The following is a 13,185-nucleotide window of genomic DNA, read 5'->3' as shown; positions in this document are numbered from 1 at the left end:
TTCACTTATATTTTCTATGGTGACTTTTGTTCTCTAGCAGCAGATGCCATGTGGCCTGCAGCACCTAAAATATTTGCCATTTGGCTTTCTTTCTGGAAAAGTTTGCAGATTTCTAGCCTAGCCCTTGGCACTCTGACTTGTGCCCATTTGAGGAAAGCAACGTCTTATTTATCTTATCTTCCACACTTGGTAGGCACTCAATAATTATTTGCTAAAATGACTTTCCATAATCACTCTAAGTCTGAAAAGTAAATCTCAAGTCATGAAAGTTACCATGGCACCAGATAAACATCAAAATAACATCCTCGTCAGCTCGAGGAGAGGAAAGTGAGGTGCAGAGGCTCTCCAAGACTCTTTTTCAAGTAAGTTCATTTTCGTGTTGTGGTATCTCTTGGAGATTAAGTAAAATAAAGTGATTCTAAAGAACAAGGCCACGTTGCTGGGAGCAGCTGAGTGGTAAATAAATCTCAGGTAGGAGCTGTTTTCAGGAAATTGAACACTTAATAGTCCCTGCTGCAGGTCTGCAGAGAAGTGAGTCGTGATGTCCTGGCTTTGAAAGTCCTATTGGTTTTAAGAGATCAATCAAGTTATTGAAGCCAAACCACAATTGACGTTTTCTCTGCATTAAATGTTTGCAAGGGAAGCAGGTGTAGGCACACTGAAGGTCATCGTGAGGACTTGCTCAACTTGGAGTTTGAGCTGGCCTTGGGCACACAGACCTGAGTCAGGTGAGAGGCACTGAGGGGAGCCAGGAGCTCCCACCACTGCATGCTGAAGGGGCTGGGCATGAGCTGCCCCGCAGGCCACCTGGCCACCGCCTCAAGGGCTGTGTGTGTATCTGTGGTTGCAAGGTTGCAGCACACCTGGAGGCTTCGTCTCCAGTGCGAGTGAGCCTTGCTTTCGACACCTGTGCAGAGAAAGCTTCGTACAAAGTGAGAGCCAGGCATGGGCCACCTGCCGTTGGAAGGCACATGCACCCCCACTGCCCCGGTGAGCCTCGCAATTCCTCAAAGACCCACAGTCAAGGCTCTCTGAAGCTTGTTTTAAGCATTTTAGTTGTACTGTTAAATAATTTCCCTTTCAGTCATTTCCCACAGAAGCATAATTCTTAAAAGGGTTTTTGCCTTCCTACGTATGGCTAACCTCTTTTTGTTTTTTGAAAGAAAATCCAAGGAAAAAATAAATTTAGGGAAAAAAAATTCCCAACCAGGAATTTTTTAATGGAAATGTATATTCCAAAAAGTGAAATTCAGCAAAGTCTATTGTAGCCGATTTTCTTATAGTCATCCTGATAAAATTGGATCTATTTTCTTATAATTTGCCGCTTCCTCCAAAAAGAGAAGGGTGATGCTCAACAAATCTTAATTGTGGTTACAGCATACTGAGTTTTTGTTTATTATTTTTTCTCTTGAATGTGGAGATATACCTAAATGTAAGGGAAATTTTCACAAGAAAAAATAGTCGTGCTTGAGATTCATTGAAAACCATTTCTAAAACTGAAGCCATGTTTACATGTGCGTGTGCACACACATTCTAAGCATGAAGCATTTCAACAGTTTTTGGGTTAAAATGCTTGTATGGACTAGTCCAGGGTCCCTATAAATAAGAACCTAAACATTTGTTTATTCCATTACTTTTTTTTTTTTTGAGATGGAGTCTCACTCTGTCACCCAGGCTGGCATGCAGTGGCACAATCTTGGCTCACTGCAACCTCCACCTCCCAGATTGAAGCCATTCTCCTGCCTCAGCCTCCTAAGTAGCTGGGATTACAGGTGCACGCCACCACGCCCGGCTAATTTTTGTATTTTTAGTAGAGATGGGGTTTCACCATGTTGGCCAGGCTGGTCTCGAACTCTTCAGTTCAGGTGATCCACCCGCCTTGGCCTCCCGAAGTGCTGGGATTACAGGTGTGAGCCACCGTGCCCGGCCTATTCCATTACTTCTAATCAGTTATCCATGGACTTTTAGAAAACATTTGTGGATGTGGATACTACTACCTTGAAGGGTTGGAGAAAAATTATAAGGAGGTGATGGTGACCTTTAGAGTGACCTTTAGAATGCTCAGGCTGTAGTCCTTTTTGTGCCACCATTTTTTTTAACCCTTTAGATTTAACTGGGCGAGCAGGGGACAAGAATTCACATGGTTTTTACCAGTTCCCTTCTGCCCAGGAATGTCACCACATCTTTAGACGAAATGCTAGAAGAAGACTAGAGGAATTATCAGCTGGGCTAAATTATTCATGAGAATATTAAGAAGGGAAAAAGTATTTTCATAAAAAAAAAAAAAGTAAACCTCACACAATAGTGACAGTCAGAATTAGGTTAAAAATAGAGCCATCTCTGGGAAAGACCATTGAATTTTAATTAGCTCATCACTCTGAGCAATTCTGGTGTGTCAGCGGGTTCTTCCTTGCCATATAGTCATTTTTATAGGTTTAAGTAAAAATAGGAACTGGTGCACAGCCTAAACAAGCTGCATAACGAACCCACCTTCCTGGCAACTCACATCTTGGAAAGAGGACGCCGCTGCCTGGCCTGATTGGACTTCCTCTCCTGTTTGGCATCTCTACTAATCTTGGCTGTCTTTCCTCACTCATACTGTTCTTGCCCACCCCCATCCCTTTCACAGCTAATGATTCCCCATTCTATTGGATTTGTGTGTGTGTGTGCATAACTTATTGCATTGGAGGATTTGTTTTAATTTCCCTGAAATCTTACAAATTAAATTGCCCATCCTTAACTTTTTCAGTTTTTCATCACTCTGACCCACTTTATGTTGAAATGTGGCCAATTTGACAGAAGCGAAAGCCCCTTCTAAGGCAGTACTTCTGAATCTTATGAATATTTTTGGGTCAGAGACCCCCTTCCAGAATTTGATGGCAGCTACGGGTCCTTCCCCTGGAAAAGCGCATATCTCTTACACACACATGCACACATGCATAGAGTTTCACATAAAGTTACAGAGGCCTCCCGTATCCCTGAACACATTCATGGATCCCAGGTTGAAAATTACATGGCCAAGGAGCAGCTCGGGTTGAGCATGGGGTGCAAGGGCCTCGCGGGGAAGCCTGGCCTACATCCTTGCCAGCACTGGGACCATGTGGAAGAGCAGGGTGTGAGGGGCTGGAGAGGGGAACGTATCCCCAAGATGCAGATGCCATCAAGCCCTTTGTCATGTAGGACCAAGGATTCAAATAAACCTTCTGTTTCCAGAAAGCAGCATTTGTCCAAAAGGGTGGGAAGTGAGTGGTTGTGACTTCCCAGCCCAAGGCCACCCTCCTTTGCTCTCTGCCTTCAGTCACCTTGACCTTGCTCAAGTCCAGTGATGGGTGCTGGGTCTCTCGGTCCGCTGGTGAAGACGCAGAGAGATGGACATTTCTGAATGAGGCTGAGACAGCAGAGAGGACTCAGTGTTCAGGAAAATGAGACTTGACCCAGTGAGAAAAGCACAGAGTCCAGTGTCGGGGTTTTTCCCTGTACTAAGCAGAAGGAAATGTTATTACTGATTTGAGTCCCAGTTGGGGTCACTGGGTGCATTGATGGAGGCTGGTTCCTCTTTTATTTCATGTGACTAGTCTTTAAGTGCTAACAAATAGTTAGGAGTTCTTCCACATAGAAGCCACTGGAAAACCTCACCTAGAATTCACTGTAAGCCCTTCTACCACCACTATGAGCTGTGTGACTTTGGGCAACCTAACTTACGTCCCTCAGGCTCCTCATCTGTGATGGGAACATGAGTGTTTTCCTCTCCGGACTGTAAAGTCATAGAGTAGCTGCCTGGCCCCTGCTATGCACTCTCTGAGACCCAGATGCATCTCAGTCACGACCAGGCTGCCAAGGAATGAGATACAGGTACTGCAGAAGCCTGTTCCTAAGGCAATGGGAGAACAACCCTGTAGGTGCCGTCACAGCCAGCTTGCTAACGCCCAAGATGATGGCATATTGGAATAGACATTTCCCATTACACAGTTAATCACAAGCAAAAAGACAGAGATGTTTTCAATGATGGCCAAAGAATAGGCTTTGAATACCCAACTAACTGAACCAGACTGACCCTTTATCCTGCCTCAAAAATTTGATTTCTGGACTGTTTTGGAAATGTACTTTGACCTTCTCTGGGCCATGAGACTGATGCTCTTGCCACTAATGCAGTTATAACCTCAGGGAAGCAGAAAGCTCCAGGGAAAAGAGCATTTCGCATTTCCTTTAAAATACACACACACTTCCCTCTAAAGGTTTGCTAGCAGATGTTTAGTGGAGACAGAAGGCATCTCGTCAGGAGTTGGTGGGGTGCTTGCAATGATTGATTGCCATGTTTGCATATAAGTAAGTTCTTGTTCATCTGCTCACTGCCTAAGACCTGGTGTTAATCCCCCCTGTCCTTCCTTCTGGAGGAAAATGATTTCTGCCAGGGGAGTTGAGTAACACTGACAAATATCAACTAAGTTTTCATTTTGAGTGGAGGATGGGGTAGGAGACAGAGGTCACTTGCTTGAACTAGGTCTTACCCACCATTGCTAGGATCCTGCCTGTCCAAGGTTCATGGTGGCTTCTGCTGGGGATGAGGTCGGGAGGTGAATTATTAAGCTCTGTGCTTTAAGTCGCTCTCTGAGGCTGATATTTTGGACTGATGTTTAGCTTATGAGAGTGGTCTGTGAAGTTTTGTGAACTTCAGCAATTACATAGATCGCATAGAAGTATTGTCCACATGAGATAGCTTGAATAGCAATAACTCAGGAAAAGTTAGTTTGCATATACTACTGGTAGTAATAATACTAATAAAGGAAGAAGTGATTTGTTGAGTCAGGAACTGTGCTAGGGACTGAGCTTGTATTAACCCATCTCCCCACAACACAGCGAGTTAAATAATTAACACCATTTAACAGAGGAGAATACCATGGCTCACAAGGTGGACCAAGACTACACAGCCCTAACGTAGTGACATCATACCTCATACCCTTCTCTTTCTTTCTTTCTTTCTTTTTTTTTTTTTTTTTTTTTTTTTGAGACAGAGTCTTGCTCTGTCACCCAGGCTGGAGTGCAGTGGTGTGATCTCGGCTCACTGCAACTTCCACCTCCCGGGTTCAAGCAATTCTCCTGCCTCAGCCTTCCTAGTAGCTGGGACTACAGGTGCATGCCACCATGCCCAGCTAAATTTTTTTTGTATTTTTAGTAGAGACAGGGTTTCACCATGTTAGCCAGGGTGGTCTCGATCTCCTGACCTTGTAATCCACCTGCCTTGGCCTCCCAAAGTGCTGGGATTACAGGCGTGAGCCACCGCGCCCAGCCATACCCTTCTCTTTCTGATGCTGACACCCATGGACCTTCCACTGTGTCTTCTGCTGGTGCATGATGACATGCACACTCCGATGCAGCATCATCACTGTGGCAAATTAAAGGAGCCAGAGAGAAATTAAGTGAAGAACAGACAAGAAACTAACAAGTCTTTGGTTAGCAAAGTATGTCGGCCAGAAGATAAAGTTTTCTGCTTTCCTTTTTCCTTCTGCTGCTGCTGTTTCCAGTAGACTTAAGGTTAAGGATGCATGCATTAAGGGCATGATGACTGTTTTTTAAATGTTTTAAAATTTTTAGGAGAAAAGACTGAACATATGGTTCAGCCCTTGTCTATAGGAACAACAGAAAAAAATATTTTTTAGTAGGATTCTCCTGGAAAATCCAAGAGGATCATTTCCAGAGTTATAGGTCTAATTTGCTTTCTTTAGTGTTAGCTCTTTGCCAGAAACACTATGAAATAGAGACTGTGCTACGCAAGGGCATCAGGTCCGCCCACTGCTCCATCTCCAGCACCTAAATGGTAGCACTCACTCACTCAGGCTCAGCCAGACCAAGTGCCTGCCTGAACCGCATCTACAAGCCAGTATTTTAGGAAATTCTGTTCTGTGTCAAAGCAGCTTCACTGTAGTCTACTCCTGTGTTTCCCCAAATTAAACAAAGAACAGAGGTCATGTCCGTCTGGAGCTAGGGCGGTTTATTTTGTTTGTTTGTTTGTTTTTTCGAGACAGGATCTCGCTCTGTCACCCAGGCTGGAGTGCAGTGGCGTGATCTTGGCTCACTGCAACCTCCACCTCCCGGGTTCAAGTGATTCTCCTGTCTCAGCCTCCCTGGTAGCTGGGACTACAGGTGCGTGCCACCATGCCCAGCTAAATTTTTTTGTATTTTTAGTAGAGACGGGGTTTCACCATGTTGACCAGATTGATCTCCAACTCCTGACCTCAGGTAATCTGCCTGCCTTGGCCTCCCAAAGTGTTGGGATTACAGGCGTGAGCCACTGCGCCCAGCCATAGGGCAGTTTATTGGTTAATAAACTATACAGCAGACACCTGTGCCTCATTCCCTCGGCCCTTTAATGTCCCCTTGGCTCCCTGGGGCTCAGATCATTCCAGGGACCTCTGCACTTTTTTGCCGTCCCCCTACCCCCTCTCCACCACACCGCCAGAGTGAGCTTTCCAAACCCAAACCTATGCCTCACTCTTCAGCTTCATGTCCACTCAGCTGCTCTGACTGTCCCCAGGCCAGATTCCAAGTCTTAACCTGCACGTCCCGGATGGTGGACAACAGTAGCTCATCTCCTGCCACTCTCCATGCTGCGCTTCTCCTGTCAGGTGCCTCCTGCTCCTGTGTGGCTGCCTCAGCTGGGAGCGAACTGCTCCCTCCAGCTGTGCCCTGCACGCGTGAGACCTCTCGCTGACCCTGGAAACACAGCAATAGGATCACTTCCCAATGCCCTCCCTCACCTCTGTGTTGAATTTAGATGCCTCCTGTGTGACCTCATCACATGGTGTGAGCAGGGCATCTGGGCCAGGTGTGACCTCATCACATGGTGTGACCTCACTTTTTTTTAAAGAAGGGAATGAATTTTTTTTTAAGGAGGGAACAAATATAAAAAATCTTTGTCCTAGAGTCAGAAAACCAAGGTTCAGGTCCTACAGTTGAGACCTTCTTAGCTCTGTAACTTTGAGTAATTTACTGTAGAGAGCTGATGTTGGTTCCTTGAAGTGTAACATGGGAATTGTGCCTATTACATCTTACCTAGTTGCCGTGAAAATCGAATGCACTCACCTGCATGGAGAGGTTTTAGAAGCCATGAAACCCCGTACAAGTGTTTGGTGGCACCATAAGGACAGTTAGTGTTCATTTCCAAGCAATACAATATTGCATATTTGTGTGCAGATAATGAGCTTTCTATTACCTTTGACTCATCCCAAAGAGGTTCGTGAAAGTGCCCCAGGAGAGAGGGAAGGCAAAAGCTCTATTGGGTGAGATGCACAAATGTCAGACCATGCCAGAGCCTTCTGTTGTGTGGGCCCATGGGCCAGGTCAGATAAAGTCAGTACCGTTTGGGGCCCACCCAACTACACCCGAATGTCCTTCATGCCTTTGCCATGCCCAGAGGAAACTCATGCCTGTGAGGGTCAGCCAGTCCCTGGCTCTGCCCCATGTCCTGTCTCCTTTTGGAATGTAGAGCTAGTGCCCAAGAGAGGACCAGGATGGGGGCAGGGGCACTGGAGTAACCATGTAGTAGATGGCTGAGCAGAGGCCAAGGAGGCAGCTCCCACCACCACCCCAGAAAAATACCCCTTTTTCTCTCCAGAACGTGGCAGCGGTTGAAGCCAGGAAGGACCAGGCTGGAACGCTGTGCTTTTCCCTTTTTGGGGTGGCATTGTCCTCTGGAGAATTGCAAGCAGGCACCTTAGTGCTGAAGGTGCCACATCCTAGTTTGGGCGTGACTGCCAGGTGCCCACACTGGGCCCAGGGCCAGCCGCAGGCAGCAGCCTGTCACATCAAGGTGAGCAGCAGGCCATGGGCGGGGACAAAACCATGACTCATATTCCTGCTCATTCTTTTCCATCCCCTCCCCTTCTCCCTCACAGCCTCTCCTCAGCCTGTGTCCTGGGGTGTCACAGTCCCCCGAGGAGGAAGCCTGGGCCCTGTCTTAGGTCCTGTTCTGGCGGTGGCCTGGCCCCTGGGACAGAGCCCTACAGACAATTGCTGACCATTCAATCCTGCTGTGACACATGTGCTGTGCTGCCGGAGCTCACCCATTGCTGCTGCGCCTGGTGAGGATGGGCCAGCCAGGGCTGCAGGAAAAGAAAACTGACTTTGGTAGAGGGGAGACCCAACTGCTTTTGTATTTTGTGTTAATTTAAAATGGCAAAGATATAAGTCACAAAAAACATGCCCCTGCCTGAGTGTGCTATGCCTCATGTCCCAGCTGAGCGGAGAGCCCATTTCTGATGCTCATCAGAAGTTGCAGGCAGTGGGCTGCGGGATGTCCCACCGAGTGCTGAGCAGGTCAAGTGGGAATGCAGATCAAAACTCTCTTCCTTGGGCTCTGAGCAGTCCAGAGTTTAAAGGTTGTTAATTGGCCAAGCCTATTTAATATTTCATTCACGCGCACATGGAAACAAAGAGGTGGTCATGGCAAAAGCTGGCACAGGACATTCCCCTGTCCCACCACCCCATTCCCCTTGCCCTCAAAATCTTTATTCGATGGTCCTTAATGTCTGCATTTCATTCATGCTTCCTCTCCTGGGTCCTGGAGGTCTACCTGCTTCTGGGACCTGCAGCCTTTCTCCATGGAGAGAGCTGGGCTCTGGTTCTCCCATCCTCACTCTGTGTAGTGGAGAGACGGAGAGGCCAGATTTGTAGATGGCATCTTGGGGGTTCTGCCTGGCCCCAGAGTTCCATTCCTTTGTTACCTTGCTAAGGAGATGGGATGGGGGGCTTTGCTGTGCTCATTAATCTCAATCCCATGGAGCCCAGGGCCATGAAGAGATCTCAGAAAGGTCATGGCCTTTGCCTGGTTAACAACTGTTTGGTTCAGGAAACAGTATCCTTGGTGGGTGTTTCAATCCCTGATGAAAATGCATGCTAATTTTTATTTTTTATTTTTTATTTTATTTTTTTTTTTTGTGAGACGGAATCTCGCTCTGTCGCCCAGCCTGGAGTGCAGTGGTGTGATCTCGGCTCACTGCAACTTCTGCCTCCCGGATTCAAGCGATTCTCCAGCCTCAGCTCCCGAGTAGCTGGGACTACAGGCGCATGCTACCACGCCCAGCTAATTTTTTGTATTTTAGTAGAGACGGGGTTTCACCATGTTGCCCAGGCTGGTCTCGAACTCCTGAGCTCAGGCAATCCACCCACCTCGGCCTCTCAAAGTCCTAGGATTACAGGCGTGAGCCACCACACCTGGCCGCTAATTTTTTTAAAGTTTGCTTAAAAAAAAAATTTATTTTTCCCTAGAGGACCTCACAGAGCCTTTAATTTGCTGACAAGCACATGAATCTGAAGGGAAGGTGTATAGAATGATCTGATAGGTTTCCTCCATGTTTCTACAGTCCTTGTGTGCACTCTGGCATGACCATCAGCATGTGGCAGTGTGGTGTTGGATTTGGAGTATTTTCCATGCCTGATTGTAAATCCCTCGGGGTAGGGACCATGTCTTCATCTCCCTAGGTCGTAGCGTGAGAACCGGCACGTGTTTCCCGCTTGACAGGTGTCCCAGCCGTGGAGGCCTTTGCGATCTGTTGAGATGGCCTCATGTTTCTTCTTGCCCCCACAATGTGATTCAGCAAAAAGACAACTGGGTAACAGACGCATGGAGCAGTATTTCTTGGATCCCATGGGGCTTGCTGTGTTGAGACTGGGCTTTCGAGTCTGAATTCAACTGAGAGTGAGGTGTTGCTGATGCAGAGAGACTCATGGGCCCAGCCCCTTGTCCTCTGTAAAGCTGGGAACAGAAGCTAAGTCTGGAGAGTCGAACCCCAGAGTTTTAGAGATAGAACTGATAGGCAGGTCGCCGTTCTCCTGGGACCCCAGTCTTTGTGGCCTTTCCCAGCAGCTGAACTTTGGACCCCTCTCTCTGTGACATCCTGCTCCTAACCTGGCCACATGATGCTGCTTGAGAATCCAGCCACAGCCTGAGCCAGGACAGCTCTCAAGAGAGGAGGACAGGCTGTGGGATGAACGGTCATGGCCACAGATGGAAGGGACCCAATTCCTTAAAAAAAAAAAAAAAAAGAATGATGTAGGAGTCTTTAAGCTTCTCTAAAGGGCAGGGCTTGGGGGTCCCTGTGTCCCTCTTATTGAAGCACGTTTCCCTCTCTTTTTTTTCAGTAGAAAGACAGTTGAGGGGGTGTGTTCTGTGTGACACTGCTGCAGGCTCCTTTGGGGGAGAAACCCTGATCTAAGTCACAGCTGGTTGGGGTCTTAAGTCCTTAAGCAGTTTAACTTGGGGTCAGGCATAAAATGGGGGGGGTGGGTAGAAATAGAAAATATACAAACAACAGGAATATAAAATGTGGGACACCTTCTGTGGCCTGGACATCCCTGCTGCCTCGAGCTCCCCGCAGCTGCTGATGTTCGCTAGCGCCTCTCGTCACCCCAGTACCACGCTCTGACCTTCTGTTCCTGCTGCACCTGTTCCCCACCCCAGCATCTTTGCCCGAGGGAAGGCTTCGTCCAATCCCGTTCCCGCCCTGGATGACCACGCCAGCTGTGGGCCTGCCTGGCCGAACGCAGGTCTCCATCAGAGGGGCCCGTCTGCATGGGGGTGCCTGCACACCTGTCGTGTCGACATCACTGAGGACCCCTTGGGGGCTCAGGCCAGCTTGAGGGCCTCTTTGTCTCCTAAATAACTGGGACAGTATCTGGGGCTTAGATGAGCAGTCAGCATAGCAATAAGTGACCGGAAATACAGAGATGTGTGGACTAAGACTGTTGAGGTTGACTCGGATGTGTGCAAAGGCCCCAAAGTGACCTCCCTCCACGGTTGAGCCGTTGCCTGAAACCCGACTATGAGAATGCAGTTCTGTATTTTAAGGCAGATGAGACAAATGCCCCCAAGAATGGCAATGCAGTGAGCTCTGTGACTCACCTCACCTCCTGGTGATTGAGCCTTTCTGATCCTCCTGAGTTTAAGGATCCTTGGGTGGATGGGTGGGCGGGGCACAGCTGAGGTCAGAGCTCTCAAAGGCCAATACTACGGACTTGCCTTTTTTGTTGTTGTTTTATTTGGAGGGGGGTGTTTGTTTTATCATGGTAAAATAAACATAGCATAAAAATTACCATTTTAACTACTTTTAATTGTACCATTCAGTGGCATTAAGTAATTCACATTTTTACACAGCCATCACCACCCTTCATCTCTAGAGGTCTTTTCATCTTCCCAAACAAACTCTGTCCCCAATAAACACTCCCCATTCCCATCCCTTAGTCCCGAGCAGCCACCCTTCTACTTTCTGTTTCTATGAATTTGCCTACCTAAGAACCTATTTAAGTGGATCATGCAATATTTGTCCTTTTGTGACTGGCTTACTTCACTTAGCATAATGTCTTCAGGATTCCCTCAGAACAAGGACCTCTAAGGACAAAAATAAGTGAAAATAAGAAAAAAAGAAAAAATGCTTCCTTTATACTATAGCATATGTTGGATATGGCCTCCCTTTTTAAGGCTGAGTTATATTTCATCCTCTGGATGGATCACATTTTCTTATCCATTCATCTGTTGATGGACACCTGCGTTGCTCCCACCTTTTGGCTGTTGTGAATATGCTGCCGTGAACATAGGTGTGCAAATATCATTTCAGGTCCTTGCTTTCACTTTTGGGGGGTTATACCCAAAAGTGGCATTGCTGAGTCAGATGGTAATCCTCTGTTTAATTCTATGAAGAACAGGGATATTGTTTTCTCCAGTTGGCTGCACCGTTGTACATTCCCACCAGGAATGTACTGGTGCACCAGGGTTCCAGTTTCCCCACATTCTTGTCAGCACTTGTTATTTCCTGTTTGTTTGACAGCAGCTACCATCCTGATGGATGTGAAGGGCTACCACATTGTCGCTGTGATGTACATTTCCCCGATGACAGTGACGTTGAGCATCTTTCCATGTGCTTCTTGGCCATCTGTATGTCCTCTTCAGTTTTTGTTTTGTTTTAAACTTGCACTCAGATGGATAGTTATATGTGTGACCTAAGGAGAACCACTCAGTGATGAAGAATAAACGTGGCAACACCAGCTAGCATAGCTTAGCAGCATCTGTTATCTGCCTGAGGGCGGTGAATTCCCAGTGAGATGCTCATTCTAGTACTGTCCTAGAATGAAATGAGTCTCAGCTGGCATGTTCCTCGCTCTCCTTCTCGGTGCCCATCTTTTTCTTAGTTGAAATGATCTGTGATTCTGGATGCAGCCCGTGTTGTTCTGGGACGTCTCTGTATTGCACTAAATTAATAAAGGAGCTTTCATTTTTGCAGTTATGTATTTTGAATTCCCTATTCTCTCTTCATCCTGAATGACTGAGACTTGATTAGACATCGGCACAGCGCACCTGACATGGCGCTGACATGGAAATGCAATGGGTGGCAGCTCGGGGTGCAGACCCCACCCAGGATGCTGTGCCCGAGGGGAGCCAGGGCTTCCCTTTGAAATGGCAAAGGTTCCCACCATCCCTCCAGCCCCCGATGGCAGATCCCTTCTCACTTCTTCCTCACTGGAGCTGTGACTCCTTCCGGTGTTTTCCTTGGGTTGATGAAACAGAAACTCTCCTGGGGCCTTTTTTATTTTATTTTTTAATTTTATTTGTGGTAAGAACATCTAACATGAGACCCACCCTCTTAACAGGTTTTTTCAGTGTACAGCACAGTATCGTGAACTATAGACACAATGTGTGCAGCAGAGTTCCAGAGCTTATTCATCTCGCCTGCCTGAAAGCTGATGCTAGTTGACGAGCAACTCCCCATGTCTCCCTCCCTCTACCCCCGGCAACCATCAGCCCACTCTTTGATTTTCTGAATTTGCCTATTTTTACATGCCTCATGTAAGTGGAATCATGTAGTATTTGTCCTTCTGTGACTGGCTTATTTCACTTAACATAATTCCTCCAAGTTCATCCACGTGTCGTACGTGTCAGAATTTCATTCGTTCTTAAGCGGAATCATATTCTATTGTATTTTTCACTGTGTTTCGTGTGTCCCTTCACCTATCAGTGGACCTCTGCGTTGTTTCCATATCTTGGCTGTTGTGGATAACACTGCAGTGAACGTGGGAGCGCTCACGTCAAGTGCTTTGAGATCCTAATTTCAATTCTTTTGGATAAGTACCTGGAAGTAGAATCACTGGATCATATGGCAGTTCTAGTTTTAGTTTTTTGAGGAACTGCCATACTGT

General features: G+C 47.0%; 1 protein-coding gene across 19 annotated transcripts in view, besides 5 other annotated features; it reads left to right on the top strand.

Annotated features, from left to right (window-relative positions):
• Positions 1–13,185, top strand: part of SLC22A23 (solute carrier family 22 member 23) — a 188,078-nt gene that overhangs the window by 85,713 nt on the left and 89,180 nt on the right. Inside the window, exons 5-6 of one of the 19 annotated variants that reach the window (XR_007059328.1) lie at positions 7,613–7,807; positions 7,893–8,078. The exons of 16 other annotated variants lie outside the window; for them this stretch is intronic. The gene's annotated coding sequence lies outside the window, so the exon portion shown is untranslated. Of the gene's footprint in view, positions 1–7,612; positions 7,808–7,871; positions 8,079–13,185 lie in introns of those variants that run through there. 2 more of the 19 variants (XM_047419241.1, XM_047419242.1) reach the window with 2 other exon arrangements.
• Positions 319–839: an enhancer, noted in NCBI's record as "H3K27ac-H3K4me1 hESC enhancer chr6:3370733-3371253 (GRCh37/hg19 assembly coordinates)". NCBI's record gives its function as "activates a minimal SCP1, AML or CMV promoter by ChIP-STARR-seq in naive H9 embryonic stem cells {active_cell/tissue: H9 hESC(naive)}" and the evidence as "EXISTENCE:reporter gene assay evidence [ECO:0000049][PMID:30033119]".
• Positions 489–783: an enhancer, noted in NCBI's record as "tiled region #2671; HepG2 Activating DNase matched - State 5:Enh". NCBI's record gives its function as "activates a minimal TATA promoter and a strong SV40 promoter by Sharpr-MPRA in HepG2 cells {active_cell/tissue: HepG2}" and the evidence as "EXISTENCE:reporter gene assay evidence [ECO:0000049][PMID:27701403]".
• Positions 489–783: a silencer, noted in NCBI's record as "tiled region #2671; K562 Repressive non-DNase unmatched - State 7:EnhWF". NCBI's record gives its function as "represses a minimal TATA promoter and a strong SV40 promoter by Sharpr-MPRA in K562 cells {active_cell/tissue: K562}" and the evidence as "EXISTENCE:reporter gene assay evidence [ECO:0000049][PMID:27701403]".
• Positions 6,073–6,573: an enhancer, noted in NCBI's record as "H3K4me1 hESC enhancer chr6:3364999-3365499 (GRCh37/hg19 assembly coordinates)". NCBI's record gives its function as "activates a minimal SCP1, AML or CMV promoter by ChIP-STARR-seq in naive H9 embryonic stem cells {active_cell/tissue: H9 hESC(naive)}" and the evidence as "EXISTENCE:reporter gene assay evidence [ECO:0000049][PMID:30033119]".
• Positions 6,574–7,074: an enhancer, noted in NCBI's record as "H3K4me1 hESC enhancer chr6:3364498-3364998 (GRCh37/hg19 assembly coordinates)". NCBI's record gives its function as "activates a minimal SCP1, AML or CMV promoter by ChIP-STARR-seq in naive H9 embryonic stem cells {active_cell/tissue: H9 hESC(naive)}" and the evidence as "EXISTENCE:reporter gene assay evidence [ECO:0000049][PMID:30033119]".

The sequence above is a fragment of the Homo sapiens genome, chromosome 6 (assembly GCF_000001405.40).
Source record: "Homo sapiens chromosome 6, GRCh38.p14 Primary Assembly".
Lineage (NCBI taxonomy): Eukaryota > Metazoa > Chordata > Mammalia > Primates > Hominidae > Homo > Homo sapiens.
This window is presented reverse-complemented; position numbering and strand designations above follow the sequence as displayed.